This window comes from Homo sapiens, chromosome 5 (assembly GCF_000001405.40).
Source record: "Homo sapiens chromosome 5, GRCh38.p14 Primary Assembly".
In the NCBI taxonomy this organism is placed as follows: domain Eukaryota; kingdom Metazoa; phylum Chordata; class Mammalia; order Primates; family Hominidae; genus Homo; species Homo sapiens.
Window position 1 is genome coordinate 170524128 of NC_000005.10, and position 26166 is coordinate 170550293.

Below are 26166 nucleotides of genomic sequence, written 5' to 3' on the forward strand. Positions count from 1 at the left end.
CAATGTCTTCCAGTAAATCTGTCTACACATTCCCAAGGTTGGAGTCCTTCCATGGTTTCCTTCACTCTCAGCACCAACTTGGCCCCTTCTGACTGTCCTGAAGACCCTTCCCAAGCTGCCAACGCTCCAGCACTGCATCCCCTGCCCTGCTTGTGACACCCAACCCTATCAGATGCCACATGCACTTCTCCCAGTTGTCCAATGTGGCTTTGCCAAGCCTGAGCATACATGTGTGGAAGGGAGGAATGCAAGGGTGAATGTTCTGGACTCTGGAGCTACACTGTGTGGGTTTCAATCTTAGCTCTGTCACTTGCTAGCTGTGTGACCCAGGACAAGTCACTTGGCCCCTCTGTTATTCTTTCTTCCCATCTATAATGTAGAAATAATAGTAATAACAGAACCCATCCATGGGGTTGTTGGGAGGATTCAATGACATATTCATGTAAAAGACTCAGAGCATGACCAGTGCACAGTGGCCATCTTATCAAGTGCCTGCTGCCTGTCCCAAGATGGAAACACAAAATGTGAAATCCAAGTGTGGGTGGTGGAGGGGTGGTATGGGGCGGGGCGGGAATTCAGTTTAAACTAGTTCATGCCTTCATTTTACAGAGGGAGAAACAGGTCCTGAGAGAGGAGGGACCTTACCCATGGCCACCCCAGGACCCAGCCCAGTGTTCTTGGTTCTGAGGCCCGGCTGCCCTGGCATGGAGCAGACAGCTCCCTCTGGGTGGTCAAGTTCCCTGAGTTCTTTGAGGGCTGACTAGTGGTGAGAGGGATTCCTCCCCACCAAACCCCTGACTCTGAGAAGTGGGTTGGAGCAGGAGAAGAAAAGTGTGCAACTCAGCTCAGCTTTCCAGGGTAAACCGATGAGAGGACATTTGACGGTGGCAGCGTTAGGAGGGGACTTCTGCACAAGGCCGGGGAAACTTTGCCTAAGATTTAGGCCCTGGGCTCAGCCTGATGCACCCCATTTACTGGGTGCCTGCTCTGAGACCAGGATACGTGGAAAGAACCCACGCCTGGGAGCCAGCTGTCCTGGGCTTTGGAAATAGCTGTGTCCGTAGGTGAGACCTTGTCTCTGCAGGCCTCTAGCAGAGGGGCTAAGAGCATGCGCTCTGCAGGCTGCCTGGGTCCTCACCCCTACTCCCGCACTTAGTAGCCCTTGGTGACTTAACCTTCCTGAGCCTCAGTTTTCTCTTCTGTAAATGGAAGATCATAATGATACCTGCCCCATAGAGTTGTGTGGATAAGCGATAGAATCTGCATTAAAGCATTTAGGTAGTGCCTGAGATTTAGCAAAGGCTCAATCAACATTTAAAAATGGCAAGAACCAAGCACTATCATGCAGGTAGGGCACCCATCTTTGTGCATAATCCCTTTGCCTTCCCTCCCTAGAATGCAGAGGAAGGAAGACCTCTGTGAGAACCCTACATACATCTTTGCCAATTGGCAGTTTTTCCTCTAGTTAATTTGGGAGCCTGTGACCTTTACCGCCGTGTGATTCTCTGACTCAGACTGCAGTGTTGCAGTGCCAGCCAAACATGGTGACAAGCCCCTTCCCAGGCAACTGAGGACAGGCAGGAGTGTTCTGGAATCTTCTCCTGGAGTGGGAGTAAGGGTGGGCAGAGCCATGTGATGCTGCACTGTCCACCTGGTTGAAGGAAGTAATTCCAGACTCTGTCTCTGACATCTCTATTAGCCAAGGGTGAGGGTGTTAGTTCGGGTCATGTTAGCTGCGCCTCCCACCCTGCATCCTGGGCCCAGAAACCACACCCCTGTGCAGGGCTTCTGTGTCAGAGTCACCAGGGAAATGGGCTGCTGAGGATGCCAGCACCAACCAGGCTGCTGTCCTGGGGCGACATGTCTGCCATCTTACAACCTCCCTTCCAATATTCACCATGTGCCAGCTCCAGCTCAGTCACTGAGCCTCACATCGCTGGACCCCACTGTGTGCTCAGGGTCATCAGGCACTTTCGCCTGTGGCTGGGATTGAGACCTGGCTCCTCCACCTTGCACTTGTGTGACCTGGCCATGCTCATGTCACCCTCCTGGGCACCCCAATACCCTCATTTGTAAAGTTCAACCTACATGCTGTGACTGTGAAGTGAGAAAGCAGTCAGCAGTGCTTAGAACAGTGCCTGGCTCCTACTACACACTCAATAATGCCAGCTATGTTGTCAATATCAACTCTACGCAGTAGCCCATTTCTGTAGATGAAGAAAGGGAGGCTACAGGAAGGGAAGGCATGTGCCTGGGGTGGATTCGAACTCAGGCCTGTCGGGTTCCAGTCTGGGCTTTTCTGCTCTTTCCAGGCCATATTGGAACTGCCATTAGAGGGACTCATTCATTCCCATACATGTCAAATATGCACTGCACCCAGATTACATCCATCTTTAATTGAAGACCTATCCTTCTGGGCTTTGGAGATTTGCTGGACTTGGGGAGTCACCAATACAACTCAGGTAGTGACATCTGGGAGGAGAAGACTGAGGTGTCATCAGCTGCTTCTTATCCCCCTGCCTTTGCTCAGCCTGTCCCCACTGATGGGACACCTTTGCCCAACCTCTCACCCATACCTTTTATCTGATTAGCTTTTTTTTTTTTTTTTTTTTTGAGACAGAATCGCGCTCTGTTGCCCAGGCTGGAATGCAGTGGCGCGATCTCAGCTCAGGGCAACCTCCACCTACCAGGTTCCAGTGATTCTCCTGCCTCAGCCTCCCAAGTAGCTGGGATTACAGGTGCCTGCCACCACACCCGGCTAATTTTTGTATTTTTAGTAGACATGGGCTTTCACCATGTTGGCCAGGCTGGTCTTGAATTCCTGACCTCAGGTGATCTGCCCACTTCTGCCTCCCAAAGTTCTGGGATTACAGGTGTGAGCCACCGCACCCGGCCTGATTAGTTGCTTCTTCCTGTCCTTTGGGACCTGGTACAGGCATCACCTTCTCTGGGATGCTTCCCTTGTCCCTCCCTCATCACAAGGCTGGCTTGGGTGACCTTTCTCCATGCTCCAAAACTCCCTTGCTCCTAAGCAGCCCCAGCATGGAGCTCCAAGCCATGAAGCTCTAATATCAGAGTCCAAGCCTTATAGAGCTTCCAGGGTCTGACACATGGCAGAAGTTAAATTAAACTATGTATTTGTTTATTTGCTAACATTCTGCCTTATTACAAAAGAGACTTGAGTCAACTAAGCAAATAAATGTTTGCAGAGCTGAATTAAACTGAGACAGGGTACTGGCCCAGTAGAAAAGTAGAAAATACCTGGGCTTGGGCATCAGGAAGACCTGGGTGAGAATTCTCCAGACCTGTGCCTTCTATGGAACATTAAAAAGGTCACTTTCCCTCTCAAAGCCTCAGTTAGCTCTTCAGGGCCTGCGAACGGCAATCTATTGTGAGGACCTGGTGTGTGAGCCAAGTGCACCCATCAGCCACTCACAGCTGCAGCAGAACCAGGCAGTTGAGTTTGACATTGGCCTTTTAAGCTAGTCACGAATAATCAGAAGACCCATGGCAGGCTGTCACTAGTGATTTTGCTTAGGTACAAACTTGAATGGTGCTCCTTGGAGTTCTGATGTGGGAGAGTCACTGAGCTGGACGTTAGCACACACAGTTACACGCTCACAGGCTCACCCCAGCATGCATGTCTCAAAACAATATATTTTCCTCTATTTGTCCTTGGGTTTTCAGTTACAGCAAAAGTATTTTCAAAACAAAACAAAATGCATCATGATACAATCTCATATCAAGTAACATTCATTTGGGGGGACGCACTTAAATTAATAGTTTCATAAGCGGTTGTTGTCCTGCATTTACAGACACACGACAATTCTGAAGGGGTCATGTTATTTTTCGATTATCCTTTACTGCATTTTATGTGGGACATGGCATGCTGCAGTGGTGTTTGTGAGCTGGAGGATTTGGGAGAGCCTTAGGAACCCTCCCAGGAGCCTCAAGGATTGACTGCAGTAGGAGCTCAAATGAGTTTTGCCTGGGGCCTGCCCTGGAGGAGACCTGCCTCTCAGCAGCCAATCCCACCCAGGCTGCTCTGGAACTGGAGGCTCTGGCTCACTGGGCCCTGCTCCCCACCCACTTCCCTCTCGCCTCTCCCATTCCCTTCCCCAGTCTGCAGCCCCTTTGTTCAAGGAGGGAGCTGCAAGCGGGTGGTCTCTGGGCAGCTGGATAACTACTTCTAAAGCCTCTTAGACCCTGGTAATCTTCCTCCTAACACCATCGGGTGACTGCAAAGCACTGCAGGCCAGACTTCAGTTCTGCTGTGTAATTTGCAAGCTGGGTGACCTTCCTTATCTATAGAATGGGCTCTCCTGCATGGCTGGCATGAGGAATAAACAAAATGGTTGTGTCCAGTGCCTGGGGCATAGCACAGCTCAAAAAACTTAGTTCATCCTCCTGAGGGATCAAGAAGATACTTGGAAACAAATGTCCAAGGGCGTAATCTTGAAGGGGCTTGTGCCAGGCATATATGGAGAGAAGGGTTTTGTGGGATGTCAGACTTAATAGTGCCCTTTACTCCCCACCCCCGTCTCTCTGTTCATAGACAGGAAATCTGTGGCCTATTCTGGGACCTCAAAGTGCCACAGGGTTAAAGATACCAAGTCAGAAATCTAAGGTTCTAAATGGACTTTAGACCATTTTTCATTTGGGAAGGAAGAATTCTTTAAGGGGTTGTGCTGGCGCTGTCTCTGTATGCATGTGCAGAATGTGCTTCCAGATGGGGTAATGGTCTGAGTTTGAGGACAGAAGTCCACTCCACTGCATTCAACTGTTCAATAGTCCTGGGCAGTGTTATTGCATGGGAGACCATACCTAACCCCAAAGATTGCCCCATAGTCTCTTTGTCAGATAAAGCATAAGTGAGCATCCCATCTTTGTTAGTCAGAACCTTTTCAGTTTCAAACAACAGAAAACCAACTCTTCCTGTTTAAAGGAAGAAAAGGGGGGTTTATTGGTTCATGTAATAAAATGGCCAGGGTAAGATTAACTTCAGGCAGAGCTGAATACAGGTGCTCAAAGAAAATGTCGACAAGAACCTGTTGATTTCTCTGTCTCAGCTCTGCTCTCTTCTGTCTTGGCTTCATTCTCAGGAAATGCTCTAACCTTGGGGTTCCAAGAGTAGTCACCAGCAGCCCCATATTTACAGCCCACCAGCTCAGCAACCTCTGTGGGAAAGAGCTTCTCAATAGTTCCAGGAAAAGTCCCAGGGCTGGCTCCCATTGGCCTAGATAGGGTTCTGTGTTATGCTGTGAGGTGCTGGTTCTGGGGACGGAGGAGTGTTCTGCCTTAACAACCGAATGGACTGTATTTGTGGGGAGGTGTGGGAAACCAAGGAGCTCTTACCAGGAGAATGGATGTTGGGCCAGCAGAAACAAAATATGTTACTGCCTTCTTCAAGTACACAGGTTTCTGTAAAGCCTAACATCACACTGAGGCACCACTTGCCCCAAACTCCAGCCTGAAGGATTATGAGGAGTTCGAGCTTGCCTTTGCAGGGCGCCTGCTTCCTGTTAGGACTGTGCTCATTGTACATGGACCTTCTTCTGAACCTCTGAGATTGGTTCTGTTATCTTTATTCCCATTTTACAGATAGCCAACCACAAACTTACTGGGTGGAGTAACAGTGTTGCCCAGAGTTAGAGCTTATAAATGGCAGAGTTGGAGTTTGGACCTATATTAAACAGTCTAACTTCACAGGGCAGACTCTTAGCCATCAAGCAATATGGTCTTCCCCGAGAATGTCTCCCCACTTCACCCTTCCAGGCCTTTCTTCTTGTTGGACTCTAGACTTTAAATGCCCTTCTTTTTACTTCCTGCTCACTTATTAAACTCTTCCTTGAATGCTCCTCCTCCTGATAGTTTTCCCCAGGATTAAATCTGAGCAAGACCCTTTTCTACAAGACCAAGGTCACCATGCCACTGCTGACTACAGCTGGTGTATTTGTTTGTCCTAACCCTTGGAGGGCAGAGACTAAATTTATTGTTTACCACTCTGGCACCTAGTACACTGCCTGGCACAGAGTAGGTGCTCATGGCTCATAACATGTTTATTGATTGTTTAGATGGCAACACAGATAAAATCAAAACATGGAAGGTTGCTGAGACTCAAAGACAGGATTATTATTGTTGGTAATGATCTGATAGCTAATGAGTATTATATTAATAATAGTCAACATGTCAGGTACTATAATAGAGGCTTTGCGTAACTGCTCCTTTTAGTCCTCCCAGTAATACTATGATGCTGATATTACTCTTCCCATTTTGTAGATAAAGAAACTGGGAGTCAAGGAGGTGAAATGGCTTTCCCAAAGTCTTGCATATAATGTATCCGGACTGCAAGGATGGGGCCCTCTGGCCCCCTCAACACCCTATCTGCCTCTCATACCCAGGGACCTGCCCACAAGGTCAGCCCCTTGGCAATCTTGCCAACCTTGGGGCTCAAAATTCAGTTTATGGCTTCCCAAGATCTACTGGATGCTTTTTCTAAGTTTGGAGAATTCATGACATTATGAATCCTTTTTCCCCAAGGTGGGTATTCAAACTCAGAGTTCCAGCCACGCTTGCATCCAGGGCTCAGATAGCAGAGGGACCTGCCTGAGGCTTGATTTAGAAGGGTCCACCTGAGGATGTGGATGAAGCGTGAATTCATTTCTGGCAGGGGTGGCAGCAGAGGCAGACAGCTCTGTGGAGGCAGAGGTGGGGAAATTCTGGTGTCTCCTTCCTAGTGTGGACCATCGCGCCTGTGTTGAGCAGTGGAGATAGTGGGGTCTTTCCTGCAGAGGCCTCCATGGTAGGGCTCAAACATTGTTCTAGCTGGGGTGGCCTCCAAGCCTAATACCTTGACCCTCTTCGAGATTCTCTGCACTGCCAAATATCTTCTAATAAATTCCTTCTCTGCATAAACCAACTAGAATAGATTCTGTAGTTTACAACCAAGAATCCTGACTGAAACCCCCTGAAGCTTGTGGGTTTAGGTATGACCATGTGGGAAGGCAGCATGAGCTCTGGACTATAAAGAGAATCAGTTGAGGATGTGGCAGCAAACAGGTATACTAGGGGATCAACGAGGGGAATTATTATGATGATGGGCCTTTGGAAACCTCTGCCTTCTACAGCAGTACTTTGAAACTCTTGTGCACACAGATCACCTAAGGATGTTGTTAGCATGCAAATTCTGATTCAGGAGTTTGGGGCTGGGACCTGGGATCCTGCATTTCCAATACCCTTCTCCACTTAAGTTTTGCTGATGCTGGTAGTCTGAGGACCACCAATGAGGTGGTGAGGTTCCAGGGACGCTTAAGCCTCCAGCAAAACATCACACAAGACAGAAGTGCCTACTTCAATTGCATGAGATAATGAGACCAAATCATCCCCGGGCAAGCCCACCACTAACAATTATTCCCATCATTGGTAACATCCTAAGTCCTAAGGTACCTGGAGCTTCAAATCTCATAATTAGCACTCTTGTTATGCCAAGCCTGCTCCTAATGAGGACACTTTGATAATTCGCTTTGTTGAAGAAACAGGATCTGTTCCTTTCCCCTACAGTACAGCATGATAGGAGTGTGGTTTGCTATTTGTACCTGTAACTCAGCCCAGGGAGTGCTGACAATGGGGGAGCCACTGCAGGAGTCCCAGCCTCCCCACCTCATGCCCCACCCCCTGTCCTAAGCCCCACCCTTCCCAGCAAAGGAAAGTAGGCCCCTGAAGCAGTTGTCCTGTCCTCTAGAATCCTCTAGAATCCAGCTACAAACATCCAAGTCCTGCCCCCATCTTCCCGATCTAACTCACACCATTTGTCATAGTGACCTGGCCTCAGCCTCTTTCAACTTCTTCTCTCACTGCCACACCTTTGCGTAGGCAGCTCTCCAGCCTGGAATACCCTCTTATCCATCCGGCCAACTCCTCCATGACCTCTGAGATCCATGTGGAAGGCTCTAGAAAGCCTTCCTCAAATTTCCTTTGTTCCAGGATTTAAGCTGACCTAAATCCTAGAGATTAGTACTTCATTTTCAAACTTTTCATTTGCTCAAAGCCTACAGCAAACTCAGTCCACACACTTGGCTATACAAGAAAGGTTGCTTTCTTTGTTGTTCTATAACTGACTTTAATTTCAACTTCAAGTCCCCATTCTTGCCAAGGGGTAGAAATGGAATCTTGGTCAACTTAGGTTCCCCTCCCTACTCTCTGGGGTTGCATTTCCAGGCCAGGCAGTTTCTGCTGGTGCTTTTGTTCCTTGGTCCTCAGTCTTCTTTCTGTGTTGACATCCATTGACATGTCCTCGACTCCCCTCATCTCAGATCACAGGCCCATGCTGACTCCAGGAGTATTCTTGTATTCTCTTCATCTGAACCTCAACACTTTTTGAGACCACGCATGCATGTGCTCTCTCTTTCTCTCTCTCTCTAACACTTCTGGAACACTCTTGGACATGAGGAGATATTGGTCTTTCTAGGATGGGGTCAACTGGCCCTGCCTCAGATCCATTGGCCTGTACATATCTTGTAGCCATTGTGGTGCCATGGATCACAGGTCACGATGCTGTGTGGCTGCCTCTGCTCTTAGACCTGCCCCCCATGCCACCAGAGGGAGTGTCTGCCTCCCCCTGCCCTGGACACTCAGCTGGAGGGGAGGGTCACAGTCCCTCACAGTCCCTTCTCCAGTGACAAGCAACAAACTCCCAGTCTTCCTTTCTTTCTGATCCTCTCCTCCTCTTCCTCCTTCTCCTCTTCCTCCTCTCCCAGTCCAAGGAAGTTTTATGCAAAGGCCAGAGGAGGGAATAATGAGGTGGAGGTCTCTCTGACCAAGCATGTAGCCTTCCGGATCTGTTGTGCTTTCCAGGAGTCCTTCAAAGCTCTAAGCTTTTGGAATTCTGCAAGCTCAGGAAATTGAAAACCTTTTCTCTCACAACTGCAGGTCTTTGTCTGCAGTTGTAAAAGTCTGTTTAGAAACTCAGGAGACAAGCAGCATCTTCTTTGTTCCCTGCTTTCTGGAGGCAGTCAGCGTGGAACACCCTGCCTGCAGTCTGACTCAGGGAAAGGGTCACTGAGTGTGTGTGTGTGTGTTGAGGGGTGGATAATAAGCAAGGAGAACACTCAGACAGAGAGCTCACAGAGGGGCACCCCAGCACCTCCCTCACCTCTATATTCCCCGCCTGGGCATAGTGGAGGGAGGGTTAATGCCAGCCAAGTTTAACAGGCATTTCTGATTCGCGGCATTGTTGTTGCGCTATCCTGCAATCCTACGCTGCGGGTACTGTTTTTATCCTGATCCTTCAGCTCTGGAAACTAATATAGAGAGCTGAGTAACTTGCTTGAGGCCATGATGCCAGGATCCACGGTGCCCCCAGGCTGAAGAGCCTTAACCACTGGGCTGTACCACCTCACAGGAGGGCAGGTGGCACAGTGCCTGGAACTTGGGAGGGTCCAGCACGTGGAACTATGCTCTGTCATTTACTTACTGTGTGTCACTGGATCAGTCACTCAACACCGCTAAGCCTCATTTTCCACCTCTTCAAAAGGGATCTAATAAACCTGTTAGCAGAAGGCTGCTGTGAACACTAAATGAGGTGGCTTAGGTGAGAGCTCTGGTCTGAAGATGCTCACACTTTGAATCTCAAGACTTGTGTGAACCAATATCAGATTTCTCCTATTAGATTGCAATTCTCAGGGAGTCACATTCCGTCTCCAAATGCCCATCTCCTGATCCACAAAATGAGCACAACATCTCTGATAAACGGTAACTAGATGGTTCCAGTGGGCAGCGGGAGTGGGAGGGCGGTTGACTGGGCCAGAACCTCAAATGTATTCCTGTGTAGTTTCTCATGCATTCATTCAGTTTGGCACCAGAAGGTGCCCAGACTCACTTTGCAGCCAGTCTGTCCCCATAGAGGTGATAAAGGAAAAACATATGCACATTTAAACTTTTAAAAGTTTATTTGAACATTCAGCGATTCACAAACGGTATAGCACAGACAGCAAGCAACTAGCACTCCTCTAGGAGGGGCCAAACAGGATACTTTTATAAAGAGGTTGCAGAAGCAAGACAAAGAAAACCATTTTAATGGGTTGGAATGGAAAGTTCCTAATTAGAGGTTCATTGGTGGCTCCTGATTGGTGCAGCTTCTAGTTTCAACTTACTGTTTACATTGGTCTGTGGTTTGTCCCCATAGGAACGTAAGGTGTCAGAGCCAGCTACTCAGGAGAATGAGGTGAAAGGATCACCTGAGCAGGGTAGGTGGAGGCTGTGGTAAGCAGTGATTGCACCACTGTACTCCAACGTGGGCAACAGAGTGAGACCCTTAAAAAAAGAAGGAAGAGAGGGAGAGGGAGAAGGAGGAGGAGGAGGAGGAGGAGGAGGAGAAGGAGGAGAAGGAGAAGAAGGAGAAGGAGGTGGCAGAGCTACAGAAGCACCTGTTGCCCAGGATGGAGTGCAGTGATGTGACCACAGCTCACTGCAACCTTGATTTCCTGGGCTCAAGTGATTCCCCCCACCTCAACCTCCCAAGTAGCTGGGACCACAGGCAGGCACCACCATGCCCAGCTAATTTTTTTTTATTTTTTGTAGAAATGGGGGTCTCATTATGTTCCCCAGGCTGGTCTTGAACTCCTGGGCTCAAGTGATCCTCCCACCAGAGCCTCTCAAAGTGCTGGGATTACCAGCATGAGCTACCATACCATGCCCGGCATAGATTTTTTTTTTTTTTTAACAGAGGCTACAGACAAGACTGACTGCCTGGCCTAGAGTTGAGGCCCGGGAGACTTGCCTCCTGTGTGCAGCGGGCTGTGCTGGTTGCCTCGGTTTCCCAGAGTCTGATGAACATGTTTCCTCCACAGGCAGTAGCTGCTTCATTTGTTTTTCTCCCAGTTTTCATTTCTCATTAGCTGCTAAATCCTCCCCATGGCTGCAGACCCTATTGTAGCTGACTCAGCCAGTGGGCACAGCAGGGGCTGGGTCCCAGCGCCGTCTCCGCAACCTAGGAGAGGTCAGGGGCAGCAGTGCCTGCCTGGCTCTATCTCCAAGTGTGCCTCACCCCCACTGACAGGTCAGATTATCCACTGTCCCCAGAGACGTTAGGAGGGAGGCCGTGTCCTCCACTCCCCTAGCTGACACACTGGAAGGACGTTCTCCTTGACATCTGACTTAATGACAGTGGAACCAAGCGGGGTGCCCTTGGGTGAAGGAAAAAGGAGGGAAGACTTGAGCCTTCTTTAATGTCAATACCCTGAGCCTGAGGCCACAAGCAAAGGCCAGCAGCTTCTGCAGGATAGCAGAAGCCAGGAGACAGGGAACTGGGGAGTGTACATTTATTTGCTTCTCCAACAACAACAACAATATCTAGGTGTGCAGTGAGCTCCCACTTCTGCTGATGTGGGACTAGACAAAAGATGAGAGGGGACCACCCTCAGAGGCTCCCTCCTGCTTGGCCCCAAACTCTTTGTAAATCCAGCACCCCACCCCCAGTTGTTCCCCTTCAGGAATCATCACCCTCTGAAAACCTGCAGAAATTCTCAAATCCCAGCCCCCTTTGCTTCTCACACTTGTAGAGGTCTTTCCCTAAGCAAACACCTGCTTTGATTATTCAGGGAGTGAGAATTAATATCATTGTAAATCTAACTCAAACATAATTAAGAAGTTAAATCTACTTTTGAGGGAAAAAGTTCTGATTGCTCATCTCCAGACCAGATAAATAAGATTTCAAATCTCCAAGATCTGCAGCTCGGTGTGAACTGCCCTCCGCCTGTCTCAGCCAGAACATCAAGTGGAAAGGGGCCTGAGGAACTGCCTCCTCCAGCCCCACCAGTGTGGAGATGCAGCTCAGTCTTGCCATCTGTGAAATGGGATTGATAATACCTACATGGTTGTCTTGAGTTTAGCTCATAACCCTTTCTCCGCCAGAATATCAACTCCGTAAAGGCAGGATTTTGTTTGTTCCCCATAGTATCCCCAGTGCCTCACACATGGTAAGCATTTAATAAAAACAAAGCCATCAATGGAGATGACGAAACCCAGAGAGCAGCAGTGCCTTGACCGGGGTCACACAGCAAGTTAGAGCAGAGCCCTGATTGAAACCAAGGGCTCCTGGGCCTTAAACTAGGCGCTCCTTGCATTAGCCTGTGGCAGGAGATGTAGGTTTGCTGTCAATCCTTCCACCAGTTACTACTGCCTGTGCAGCCTTGTGCATGACCTTGCTTTCCCTGGGCCTCAGTTTTCCCAGCAGTAGAATGGGCTTATTATTAGAGGAGAAGACCACATCCACTTTGGAAAACGGGCAGAACCTTGTCCCACCTTCCCCCAACAGCTGACCATTTTCTGCCCAGGCTGTGGCCAGAACCTGTTCTCTCCCATCATTAAAATCCCTCTCTCCTTCTCCAACTCTTTCTTTCTAGCTCCACCCTCCCCAAAGAGGAAACAAAGGAAGGCAAACATATTCCTGTTACCAGCCCAGGTCTCAGTGGGCCAAGGTGGAGTGAGGGGAGGGAAGAGGCTACAGTCCTCCCACTCTGCCCCCACACACCTGCAGAGACATTAAGGAAAGCGGAGCTACCCTGGGCTGCCTCTCTGTGATTTAACGCTCTCTCACTCCCACACCTGCAGTGCACCGGAGTTAAAAATGACCTTGGCAAACAGCCTTATGTATTCTCTGTCTAGAGCAGAGGACAGAGTCAAAGAAAACCCACTCAGAAGCCTGGAGAGCGGCTGAAAGTGGGGGAGGGCAGGAAAGGAGGGAGGCAGGATGGAAGCATGCATCTCCTGGGCATTAGACTTGCTGGATTAAGGAGTGGAGAGTCAAACATGGGTAGCTCTGCTCAGAAAAATTATTACTGAAGGAGAGATTATGCTCCACAATCTCACCAGAATGTGGCTTTGCAAAGTGAAACGAGGGTTCGTTCCTCTGCCAGCACGACCAACTCTCCCGGGACACCCCCTCAGGTCCGTCCTTGTGCCACAGGCCACCTCACTTCAGGTTGGTGGCTCAGAGAGGTAGCAGCTCCCATCTAAATGTGGCTTCTAGAACCTTCTCTTCTCCTGCTGAGAAAGGATTGTGCTGAGTAGTAGAAGCAGCTGGCAGTGGAGTCCCCTGGCCTGGTTCCTACAATCCCAACTTTGACAATTGTGTGACCTCGGACAAGTCACCTTACCCATCTAAGCACATGTTGTTTTAACTGTAAAATGAGGAAAATAGCATTCAACTCAGGGTATGAATGAGTGGAGCCATGTGGAGCAACAGTTAAGGGCATGGACTTGGGAGTCAGGCAGCCAAGGTCTGTGATTCTAGGCAAGTGATGTCACCACTGAGCCTCAGTTTCTCCACCTGTCATACAGGCAGGAGTAAATGCCTCCTCACCCCCTTTGTTCCTTGTACAAACCCTTGCCCTGGATGTTCTGTTTGTCCTCAGGACCCCCTCTCCACTGTTGGCTGGGGAGGCTGACCTGGGAGGACTCTGTGAATGAGGCCCCTGCCTTCCGACTTCAGCTGTTCATGACACAGGCGGAGACTGCGGGCAGGAGGAGAGTGACACGAGGTGTCAACTCCCAGGCTCCCTCCCTGAGGGTTATAGGGCATGGCTCTCTTCCATAGCTTTCTTTGCTCGGCCTTTTGTTGATGGTTTTCCTCATTCATCAAATTGGGGTGCTGAGGGCACCCACTGCTTCTGTCCCAGGGCACTGCCCTCTTCGTGTGCTTTCCCACTCTCTCCCTACACCACTGTACACAGTCCTTTTGTTACACGGCCTTCCAATTCCCCAATCTGAGGGTGCCATTGTGTCCAGCTGAGACCCTGAATGAAGCAACTGTCCCGTCTGGCCACAGACCTGGCACAATTTCCCTTCAGGCACTTAAAGCAGGAGTAATGAACACTGATGAGTTCAGCTCAGTGCTAATCCCTCTACATGTGAAATCTCAGTTCTTCAGAGAGCCCTGGGAGGAAGCTACTACAGCCTTTCCCATTTTAAAGATGAGAAAACTGAGGCTCTGAGAAGGTTTCACAGCCAGAGCTAAGCCTAGAGCCCTTAATGACTATCCTCATGCCCTCTCCAGTATAGGCAGGAGGCTACTGAGTACACGTGCTTGAACTTCCAAGGCATGTTCTCAAGTAGAAGTGTCCTCCTCACAACTGCTCTGAGGCACATGCCATCGGAAAGCTGGGCTAATAATTAAACAGGGGTGATTTTGTCAGCCCCACATGGCCTGACAAAGCAGAAACACAATGGATGGTAAATATTCTATTACGACTGTTATTCCCAACCCCCTTTCCAATGGGGTGGTGAGTAGGAAGCCTCCCTATGACCAGTTTCTTCCCCACAGTCTTGCCAGCTCCTGTTCTTCTCATCACACCAGGCTTGTGGCCTTGATTTTGGACCCTGTTGGAATGAGGGTCACAAGAGGGTCTGTCTGTCCACACACACAGTTGTTCCTCCTCCTTCTTCCCCACCTCCATTCTTACCCATTCTCAGTCCTTATTCCAGACTCCTCCCTTGCACCAGCTGTGTCCTTGGCCTGGGGATGCATAATGAGACCCAGATGCTGCCCCCAAAACTCTCAGTTTATGGACTGTCCATCTTGAAGAGATGACCACAGGATGCTCAATGCTCCAGCAAAGAGGAATCCTGTGGTTCACCAAAGGCACACAGGTCTTTGGCACTTAGAGAAATCATTTGTCATATGTTCCTCTAAGTGCCAAAGGCCTGTGTGCCTGCAGTCATTCATTAATTGAACCAATATTATTCAATGAGTCCATTTCTGGCCACTCCTTCTCAGCTAGCCTTCTTTATGAGATTTTCCTCCACTGACACTCCCTGAACTGCTGCTAGCCCCAGGGCTCTGGGCTGGCTTTCTATTCCTCCTTCTGGGGGTGTCATTCATTCTCTTGGCTTTAAAGACCATCCATATGCAATCTGCAGGTCCTATGATCATGGCCTCCAGAATCTGTCTCATTTCGTCCACATCTCATCACCTCCTGTTTTCTCACTAGCCCAAGCCAAACTCATCTCTAGTCTACACTATTGCAGACATTTCAGGATTGCCTCATTGCCAGCAAATTTGCCTCCTACAAGTCACTATTAATTCATATGTCGGGTTGTCACTTCCTGGTTTTACTTCAGGTTTTAATAAGCCTGAAGGGAAACACTTGTTTTCATTCCCCAGCATGAAACTGGGACATTTCCTCTGGTCCTTGGAGTGAAATCCACACTCCCAACCACAGACTTCAAGGCCGCACCTGCTCTGACCCTGCTGACCTCCCATCTTTCACCACTGGCTGTGGCTTCCTTGCACTTTTGCAACACCAAGCTTTTTCCTGCTTTCAACCCCCAGACCTGCCCGTGGGTTGCAATTTTTGGGCATCCGGATCTCAGCAAATGTGCCTGCTCCTCAGAAAGGCCTTCCTGGCCGTTCTGCCTGAAGAAGCCCCTGTCCACATCAAGGGTCTTGCATCTCATCACCCTGTTTTATTTTCCCCATAGCGCTCATCCCAACCTAAAGTATCTTGTGAACGTGCTGCTGGTCTGTTATCCATTGTCCTCGCTAGACTTCAAGCCCCCGAAGAGCAGGGACCTGGCCTGCCTGTTCACCATTGTCTCTAGCACCTAGAACTCAGGCCTGGTACAGGATAGGTGCTCAACAAGTTGTTAAGGACAAATGTCAAGAAGTACCTGGGGGAAGTGAGGGGCTGAATTGGGGGGAATAGGTTCTTTGGTTATGGCCCAAAAATTGCTAGAAGTTTAAATGTGTCTTCTAAGCCCAGCTCTCTGTGTTCTCAAGGTCGCAAATATTAAGAACTCAGGGTAAATAAAAATGTATCCTTTCCAGTGCCTGCATGCCCACACTGAAATGAGAAAAGATTTTTTAAATAATAATAATAAAGGAACGATCTTTCAACCTGCGTGCGGGTCTCAGCGGCTCCACTTGCCTGCTGTGTGGATCTGACCAGTGCACTTTCACTGCCTGGGTCTGGGTTCTTCTGATGTAAAGTAAGGCTCCCAGTATAAGCTGCTTTCCTTCTAGATTCCAGGGAAATCATCTCACAAAACTCAAATGTGAGACAAACAAGATTTCAGGGCAAGGAAACAGACTCAGGAGCTTTCCTGGGGGCATGGCTCCCTCAAAGCCTACGTCCTGTAGAGACAGCAGCTGCTAGGCTTCTTGGATAGAGTGCCTGCCCCCAGTGCCACTCCTCACTCCACCCTGCAAAAGTCTCAAAAGGTATGTTGAGGCACAGTAAGCAGGCTGCTAGAGCCCAGCATACTTACAGCCCTGAGGTTGTCAGACAATGAGCCTCGTGATGAGTTATTGCACCAACAGCTGTTGCCCAGCCCTGCTATGTGGATCTTGGGGACAATAATTTATCCACAATTACACTGGAGAGCATGGTGCTTCTCAGGTAACAGGTGGAAATTCACAAGCCCACCATGTGATGAAGACCTGCCCTTCCCTGACCACAATGCTATGAGTAATGACTGAGAAGATTGGGCAGCCCATCCTCAGTAATGCAGGATGCACTGTGGCCCATGTCTGAGGCATCTGAAATATCAGAAACTCCAGTGGGCTTACCATGGTCCCACTCCTGCCATAATGGTTGCCTTACAGTGGCTTTTTCTTCCAAACCAACTTGCCTTCAACTGCAGAAGGTGAGGTCCCCAAAACACCAGTAGGCCATAGGATAGTGTGCGGCCGGTAGAATAAGAACCTCAGACACTTCCCACTTCCCCTGGTAGAGAAGGTCTTAGTGGCCACACCGAAAGGTAGGTGGAGGCTAACAGATCTAAGGCTGCCCAGTGTGCCATTTCTGCACTGGATATGAAATGTGCCCTCTCTGAGCCCTCTCTCTGCCTCAGCGATCTCATCTATAGAATGGGGGTATAGAGATAGACAATCTCATATGTGATCTTAGGCAAGTTCAGATCTCACAGTTTCCAAACTTCAGTTTCTCCAGCTATGAAGTATGAGCTTGATAATCTTGGCTGTGTGACTTTGGACAAGGCCCTTCCACTCTCTGAGCCTTGGTTTCCCATCTATAAAATGGGCCAATGGTAGGGGTGGGAAAAGGATGACCTCTGAGGTCCCTTCCATACAGCTGCCTCTGATTCTTCATTGCAAGTGACCCAGTGTTCCATATGACCCATAGCCATCTGTCTGTCCTTTGTGCCAGGCCTGAAGCATTCCTTTTGGACTGGTCATTTCTCACCGTCACCCCCTGGAGTCTGCCCCAATCATTTCTCAGTCCTTCTGACTGTGAAGTGTCTGTCTGAACTCATAATCAGCTTTTAGCTGGTCCCAAACAGTGAGTGCTACCAGCTCCATTAATCCCACTGACAGGGATTTATCTTTCTCAGCTGAATGAATGATGCTCCCAGCCTTGCCCCAGAAATGTGGGCTGGGCTATTCAACACTTGTCACCAGCAAGCTCTTTTCCTGAGGCTGCATACTCCAGCCACCCAGGTGACTGAGTACTTTGTCATCTTCTTCTCAGAGCAGTGGCAGAACCACAAAGCAAACTCCCACCCATGACCCACCCACCCACCTTCTGACCTAGTTTGGATGCTCCAAGCCATAATGATAAAGTAATGTTGTGAAGAGGGAAAGAGGTTTGCAGTCAGACAGCCTGAACCCAGGTTCTGCCATGTACAGGCTGAAGCTTGGCAAGCCTCTGCACCTCTCTGAGGTCCATTTGCACCTCTCTGAGGTCCATTTGCACATCTACAAAAATGCGATAACACCTACCTAGCAGAGTTCTTAGGAGATCCAGATAACAAATTGAAAACATGCCAGATAATGCCTGGCACATTTTAGAAGCTTGAGATCTACTACTGGTTCTCTTCCAGTTCTCCCATCGTAGTAATATCATCTACAGAGCAAGATGGGGAAAATGCTCACTGCCAGATCCCATTCTAAAGAGGTATCTCCATCTACAGATTTATTGCACCCGGGCTCCTAGCCATACGCCCAAAAGTCAAACTGAACAACAGTAATAATATTTATTCAGCCATGTCACACTGAACTGAGGACCTGACTTAAGCAACAATTCAGATCTGCCAACATTTACTAAGCACCTACTATGTGGCAGGCCGCGTCGTGACCCCCTGGAGAGAGAAAGATGGATTGGAAAGTGTAGCATCAAAATTAACAGCTTGGTTTGGAAGTCAGACACACCTCAGGTGAAGATATGGATTGAGTCATAAACTCCCCATGTGGCACTGGGCAGGTTCATCACTTGAACTCTCTAGACCTCAGCTTTTAAATCTAAAATGTCCCATAGAGTTGCTACAAAGATTACATGAGATATACACTTAGCAAAGTGCCTGGCTCACAGTAATTGTCAGAAACAGAAAGTGTCGAGACTCAACCCTGCATGGAAAAGAAAATAGGACACACATACTATCTTAGTCCATTCAGGTTGCTATAATAGAATACCTTAGATTGGGTAAAGTAGTCTCCCCTTATCCACAGGGGATATATTCCAAGACCCCCCGTTGGCACCTGAAATCACAGATAGTGCCAAACCCTATATGTACTATGTTTTTCCTATACTTATATACCTATGATAAAGGCTAATTTATAAATTAGGCATGGTAGGAGATTAACAACAATAACTAATAATAAAATAGAACAATTACCACAATATAGTATAATAAAAGTTATGTGAATGTGGCATCTCTCTCGTTCACTCGCTCAAAATATCTTACTGTATTGTACTTACTTATTTTCAAACTGCAAGTGGCCATGGGTAACTGAAACTACGGGAAGTGAAACTGCTGATTGGGGGGACTACTGTAATTTACTATAATTTATAAATAACAGAAATGTATTGCAAAGTCCAAGGTCAGTGCACAAGCAAATTCAATGTCTGGTGAGGGCCAGTTCTTCATAGATGGTGCCTTCTAGCTATGTCCTCACATAGAAGAAGGGACAAAGAAGCTCTGTTAGGCCTCTTTTGTAAGGGTACTGATCCCATTCATGAGGGCCCTGCCTTCGTGACCTAATCACCCCGCAGATGCTCCACCTCTCAACACCACTGCAATGAGTATTAAGTTTCAACATATGAATACTGGGGGACATGAGCGTTCACGCCTATGTAAATACTACACAGAAAGATGTTTATCAGGTAAAAGAAAGTAGACACGGACAGTCCTCATTTTTCTAAGAATAATTGGTACCAGTACAAATACCACTTAAAGAGAAACTTCTTAAAACAAATGTTGACTATTTACTGTGATAGTGAAGGAAAAAGGTTGGAGTAGGGCCAAATCTTGAAAAAATAAAATTGAAAGCACAAAAATAAGTCTTTTTTATTGTCTAGTAACAAAATGTAGGTTTTAGTGTCAAATGAGTTAATTTTTTCCATTAAAAATAGGAATTACCAAGTGTTGACTTTGGGGGAGGCATGGCACATTTTTTAGACAAAATCCTATCTTAGCACAGTCTAACAGTTTTGATTTTGTTTGACTTTCACAGCACAATAAATAAAGAGGGTCATTTGGGGCAAATATTTCCAAGCTTTATCCATTTTCCCATAGGCCTCTTCCAATCGTTAGAAGATAACATTTTTCTCCTTTGAAGCACCTGACAACTTTGTCACTTTTCTCTTCTTCGGTTGCTAACTAGTTTAACTCTGCCAGTTTCTCATTTGCCTGTAGTTAAATGTGAATGGAAAAGTTATCCAACAATACTTTTGCTATTTTTATGAAATCCTGAATCTGTTTAAAGATTTGCACTTTTCCTCTTCATCAATTTCCTTTGAATTTCCATTACATCATCAGACATTTACAACAACCAACAAGCCGAAGGAAACCAATAGATCTAGGTTAAATGAGTAAGGCTAGAAACCAGCGTTAATGGGAGGTAAAACTTAAGCGTGCATAAAACGTTTAAGTGACCGGCTCATTCGTAAGTATTTTTGTGTTATGAAGATTTTTACTTCTCTATCAAACCTTGTAACCTCAGAGAATTGAATAATGACACTTAGTTGTCAAATTCAAGATAACCGACAAGAGACCGGGCGTGGTGGCTCACACCTGTAATACCAGCACTTTGGGAGGCCGAGGCCAGCGAATCACCTGAGGTCAGGAGTTCTAGACCAGCCTAACCATCATGGCGGAAACCCAATTTCTACTAAAAATAATAATAATAATAATAAAATAACTGACAAGAATTTCTAAAGTAGTTCAGAATAGAAAGCTTACTAAGTTGATTCATTTAATGGTTACCCTTGATATTTTAACATGTACTATTACATGTTAACATGTACCCACTAAATGTCTAGATCTCATTGATACTTCATTTAACTCCTGAACAATAATAGCTTTTCAGTGTTTGGACTCTGGTTACCTCCTTCCTGATGCATAGGCTACTGTTCATCATTTTAGTTCTATCTTGTTACTTTTAGTCATTTATATTTACTATACTTACAGACACTGTTGGGTTTATTTTTAGCACCTTCCTATTTGTTTTTCTATTTGTACTATCTCTTCTTTCTTCCTTTATTTCTTCATTCCTGTCTTTTCAAAAATTAAGTAAATAGTTTTATTATTGTATTTTTTTCCTTATATTGGCTTCTTGTTTCACATTCCTGAATTTTGTGCAGTGGTTACCCTAGAAGTTTTAATATATATATTTAGTTTATTATAGTGTATTTTTAAGTTAAGACTTTTACTTCTTCCTGAACAATGCAAGAACTTTACAACAGTTAAACTCCTGTACCCACTTCTTTCTTTTTGTGCTGTTGTTAAACATTTTACTTCTGCATAGTTATAAATCTGATAAGACATTATTGTCATTTTAAACAGCCAATATTCTTTTATACTAACCCAAATATCTCTCCTTTGTAGTGTTTTTCATTCCTTCTTGCAATTTTGTGTTTCTGGATTGAATAATTTTCCTTCAGCCTGAAGATTCTTATTTGGTATGTCCTTTAGTGTCAGTGTGATGGCACTAAATTTTTGCTGATTTTCAGCATTTGTGTGTCTGAAAATGTCTTTATTTTGTTTCATTTTTGCAGGATTTTTTGCTGTGTATATAACACAAGAGTGGCAGTGTTCTTTTCCTCTTACTTTAGCATTTTAAAGATTTTTCTAGAGTCCATCAGTGTTTGTTGAAAAATCCACCTTATTGGTGCTTCCTTGAAGGTAATGTCTTTTTTCTTTGTTACTGCTTTTGAGAACTTCTCTTTACCTTTGTTTTCGGCATTTTGACTATGATATGTGTAGTTATGATTTTCTTTGTGTTTAACTTTTTGGAGGGCTTGGTGGGCTTCTTGAATCAATGAGTTGGTTTCTCTCATCAATTTTCGGAAACTCTTGATCATTGTCTTTCCAAATTTTGCTTCTGCCCAGTTTCTCTTCTTGCCTTCTGGGACTCCAATTATGTGTATGTTAGACCTTTGATAATGCCCCATGTGTTACTCATACTGTTGTCTTTTAATGTTCCTTTCTCTTTTCTCTCTGGTTTTAATTGGAATTTTACCTATTGTTCTGTCTTTAAGTCACTGACCCTATAGTCTGCTATGTCCAGTCTGCTGTAAACCCATATAGTAAGTTTGTACTATTTTATTGATTCCAAGTAACTATTAACAGATACTAGATTTGAGAAGGCTATATGTTTTTGTTCATTTTGCCCATCTTTTTCTCTATTCTCTTTAACAGAATAACCATAGTCAAAGTCCTGTCTGATGAATACAATAGCTGGGTCATCTATGGATCTGTTTTTATTGTTAGCTTTCTTTTTCTCTTTGCTTTGCTTCTTTTCTTTTCTCTTCTTGCTTTTTCACATGCCTCATAATTTTGACCATAAGCTGGACATTGTATGTAAAAGAACTGTGGAGGTTTCAGCTGATACATTCCACCAGAGCAGCTTCCCCCTTTCCTCTGTTGGAGAGTCAGGGTGAAGGCTGATGACCTCAGTCTAGTCAGAAATTTAAGAGGATTGCAGTTTGAGAAAGACTGAATCGACCACCTCTGGCTTTTCCCATTTCCTTGTGTGGTCTTCATGGCTTTGGCTGGGAGCCTAGCTAGTCTCTGTCTCCTCAGCCCTAAAAGCCTGAAGAGATTCAGTCCTGCTCTTTAGAAGTTTTGAGCTTTTCTGGCTATCTTCAAAATCTGGCAAATATCTTGAGGGGAAAAACAGGGATTTATGTCAGGCCCTTTCTCTCTCTCATGGAATGTTGTCTCCTAAGTCCCGTGAGTTTAGCAGAAATTTCATTCCAACCTTCCATCCTCATTTCCCAGCCACCTGAGCTGCATAGAGCACTTAGCAGTGTCCTATGCGTTAAAGCCAACAGTCACTTGGCTTCTTATATTTCAGGCTTCTCTTGTTTCCAATCCATCATGCCAGCCCTGCACAACTGCCAAAAGTGCTGCTTGGTTTCTGCTTTCTCCAGTAGACAACCTCTGCTTGGGCCAATGCCAGTCCTCAACCCACGTCCAGAATCAGCAGTTGCCCACAGGGAAGAAAACTGTCAGGAGTTATCAGCCTACAGAGGACCCACTTTGTCCTCATTTCCACAGCTTTCTGATGTCTTCAAATTTTCTATTTTTGCGGCTTTTCTTTTTTTTTCTTAATAGTTGTTGCAGTAGGGGAGTCAGCCTGCCACAATCTACTACATCTTACCTGGAAGCAATACCTTATCTTGTTATTTTTAAGTCAACAAATTAGACATTATTATTATTAATATATACAGCAATATTTAGAGTCACTCGCACATAAATATTAATTTAGAGTTAATCACATATTTGCTTTGTATTCCTTTTTGAATCTCTGACTTTCTATCTGTGCTAATTTTCCTTCTGACTAAGCCACATCTTTTAGAATTTCCTCTGTGAGGACCTGTTTTATTTATTCAAACATAAAAAATTTGTTTGCTCTCATTCTTGAAATGTAATTTCACTAAGTATTCATTTACAGTTGGTCAATTGTTTCCTCTTGACACATGGAAAATATCATTCCTCTGCCTCTGGCTTTCATTGTTATTGTTGAGAAGACAGATGTTAGCCTAATTGCTATTTATTTGTAGATGGTCTAACTTTTCTCTCTAACTACTTTTAATATTTCTCCGTCACAGGTTGTGATGTTACTTTCATCTTCTGGAATTGTTCTTCCACATCTTATCATCGTCTTCCATTATTTCCATCTTTGTCTCTCTAGCTTGTTTTATTTATAACTATCTAAGAGTTTACTAATTGTCTCCTTAGTTCTTTGCTCCATCTATATCTGTCCATTGTGACTTAAAATTTCCTTTTTTTAACTTTTATTTTAAGTTTAGGGGTACATGTGCAGGATGTGCAGGTTTGTTGCATAGGTAAATATGTGTCATGGGGGTTTGTTGAACAGATTATTTCATCATCCACATATTAAGCTTAGTATCCATTAGTTATTTTTCCTGATCCTCTCCCTCCTCCCACCCTCTGGTGGGCCCCAGTATGCATTGTTCCCATCTATGTGTCCTTGTGTTCTCATCATTTAGCTCACACTTATAAGTGAGAACATGTGGTATTCAGTTTTCTGCTCCTGTGTTAGTTTGCTAAGGATAATGGCCTCCAGCTCCATCCATGTTCCTGCAAAGGACATAATCCCCTTTTTAATGGCTGCATAGCATTTCATGGTGTATATATACCTCATTTTCTTTATCCTGTCTATTGCTGATGGACATTTAGGTTGATTCCATATCTCTGCTATTGTGAATAGTGCTACAATGAACATACGCGTGCAGCTGTCTTTATAATAGAATAATTTCCATTCTTTTAGGTATATACCCAGTAGTGGGATTTCTGGGTCGAATAGTATTTCTGTCTCTAGGTTTTTGAGAAATCTCCACGCTGTCTTCCACAATGTTTGAACTAATTTACACTCCCACCAACAGTATAACATCGCTCCTTTTTCTGCACAACCTCGCCAGCATCTGTTATTTTTTGACTTTTTAATAGTAGCCATTCTAACTGGTGTGAGATGGTATCTCATTGTGGTTTTGATTTGCATTTCTCACTTAAAATTTTGAACTAATGTATTTTTCATTTCTAGATGCTCTATATGGTTATTTTTCAAATCTGCTAAGACATTTTTATAGTGTCTTATTACTTGCTGAAATGTTCAAACCTCTTTTATTTCATTAAGCATATAAATTTTGCCATCTCATTTTCTGTGCTAATAAAAATTCTAATATCGGAAGCTTTAATAATCAGATTCTGCTATCTCTTTTTCCTGCAAGCCTTATCTCACAGTACCTTGTTTTCTTGTGTGTTTTACAATTGTTGACAGTGAATATTCTTTAGAACTTTATCCTTGATAATTATTAGAGGAATGAATTAAAATTTCACTTCTCCGGAAAGTACTGTGTTTGCACCTTTTAATAACTCAAGAGAGGTAACAACCCAAGTTCATTTTCAATTAAAATTTTCATTTGAGGTTTTTCAGACCACAAACCCATGTGAGAGCTCACATATGGTTACAAATTCTTGAAGAAAATGAGGCTCCTTCCTTCCCCATCCACCTTCCTAGTACCAAAGTCAGGACAGACAGGTTTTCTGTGTTAGTTCACTTCTCATTCACCTTTGTATTAAAGGTCTAGCTCTTTGAGGTTCAAGTTTTATGTTGGGACCTCTTCCCACTTGGTAGGGCCTGGGTTTTACCTACTGGGTTTCTAAGCATATTTTGTGGTTAACATCAGAGGCCAGGAGACTCATCAGTGTATAATTAATTCTTGTATAACTAATTATTTAAAGGCAGTGGACCTATTCACTAGCACCCTGCTTTCGGAGTCACTGAATTCATGTTTGCCCTCAGCTAAAGCCATCCTGAACCTCTTTAGATGGGAGAACCCTGATGCTGGTACCTGTAGCATGGGGGCTGGGGCTGGAGAAGCCAAGTAGTACACTAGGGACCTCACGGTCACTGTGAGGGATGGGGGTCTCTGCTTGGCTTCTGAACACCCAAAAGTAAGCTCTTCTGCCTTCACTCCATGTCCACTGGAGCCTGGGATCCTCTCATAAGAAGCTATATTTACTCTAATGAAAAAAAATCTCACCTGGGCTGAAAAAGCGTATGCTATACATGAGCCTTGGTTAACCTAAACTTTCATCCAGAGTTTCAAGGATTAAATTCCTAAGTTCTTTTTAAAGCAAAGAGAAGTTAGTTCCAGTCCTAGGCCATGATAATGCTCTTGGCTGAGAAAACCTCCTTCGTTTTTTTAAAATATGGATTCTGAGGGTGCAAGTGCAGTTTCGTTATATGGAAGTATTGCACAGTGATGAAGCCATGGCTTTTAGTGTACCCATCATCCATATAGTGTACATTGTACCCAACAGGTAATTCACCATCCCTCAACCCCCCTCCTCTGTTTTAAGGAACTGGCATTTATGCAACTAATTGATAAAATTATCATCTGTCTCTTAACCAGATTAATAGTATAATTAAGGAAATCTGGGATGATGATAGCAGGTTTACTGTTGATGAAACCATTGAACACTTGATTTAACCCATTAACAGTGTTTCTGAAAGTATGTTCCTTGAAACACTAGACCATGAAAAGTCCTTTATGTTGAAATATGCTTAAGAAATATTATATGCTTGAAACTTCTCTTGGAAACTCACGAAGTATATTAGACATTAAAGGCTCTAAGAAATCCTGCAATAAAGAAGCCTATTTAATTTTATTTGACTCGGTGTTTTCAAATTATGTGTGACCACAGAAATAGAAGGAACTTGGAGGAGTAATAATTCATTTTTTGGGTAGAATTCACTACTGTCACAGATATTTGTATGCTGTCAATGAACATTTAAATGTGGATTATAGAGAAAGTAAGATTTATTCAACAAATATTTGCTGAAAGTCCACTATGTGCTTACCACTTTGAGTATACATCGGTGAATAAAAAAGATATAGTTCTGTCTCATGGAGCTTGTAGGAGCATTGGACTGTCGTGGAGGCATTAAGAAAGAAGTAGCAAGTGCCTAGAATCCAGCTGCCCCTCAAATTGTTGGATCACAGCCGTGGAACAGGCCCCAGAGCTGGGAAGTTGACTGGGCAGTTGGCTGTTGTATCCAGCCTGGGAGATGCAAAATTTATTGACATAACTGTACCCCTCAAGAGGACCATAAAGAAGACCAAGCAGAAACACACTTGGTTCTGGAACAGAAAAAAGTTTATCTAGGAAAGGAAGTTTAGG

At 45.3% G+C, this 26166-nt stretch overlaps 1 protein-coding gene across 6 annotated transcripts in view, besides 1 other annotated feature; it reads left to right on the forward strand.

Annotated features, from left to right (window-relative positions):
* The window catches only part of KCNIP1 (potassium voltage-gated channel interacting protein 1), a 383146-nt gene that overhangs the window by 170641 nt on the left and 186339 nt on the right, over nucleotides 1–26166 (forward strand). The gene's annotated exons all lie outside the window — the stretch shown is intronic.
* Nucleotides 10960–11460: an enhancer, noted in NCBI's record as "H3K4me1 hESC enhancer chr5:169962091-169962591 (GRCh37/hg19 assembly coordinates)". NCBI's record gives its function as "activates a minimal SCP1, AML or CMV promoter by ChIP-STARR-seq in primed H9 embryonic stem cells {active_cell/tissue: H9 hESC(primed)}" and the evidence as "EXISTENCE:reporter gene assay evidence [ECO:0000049][PMID:30033119]".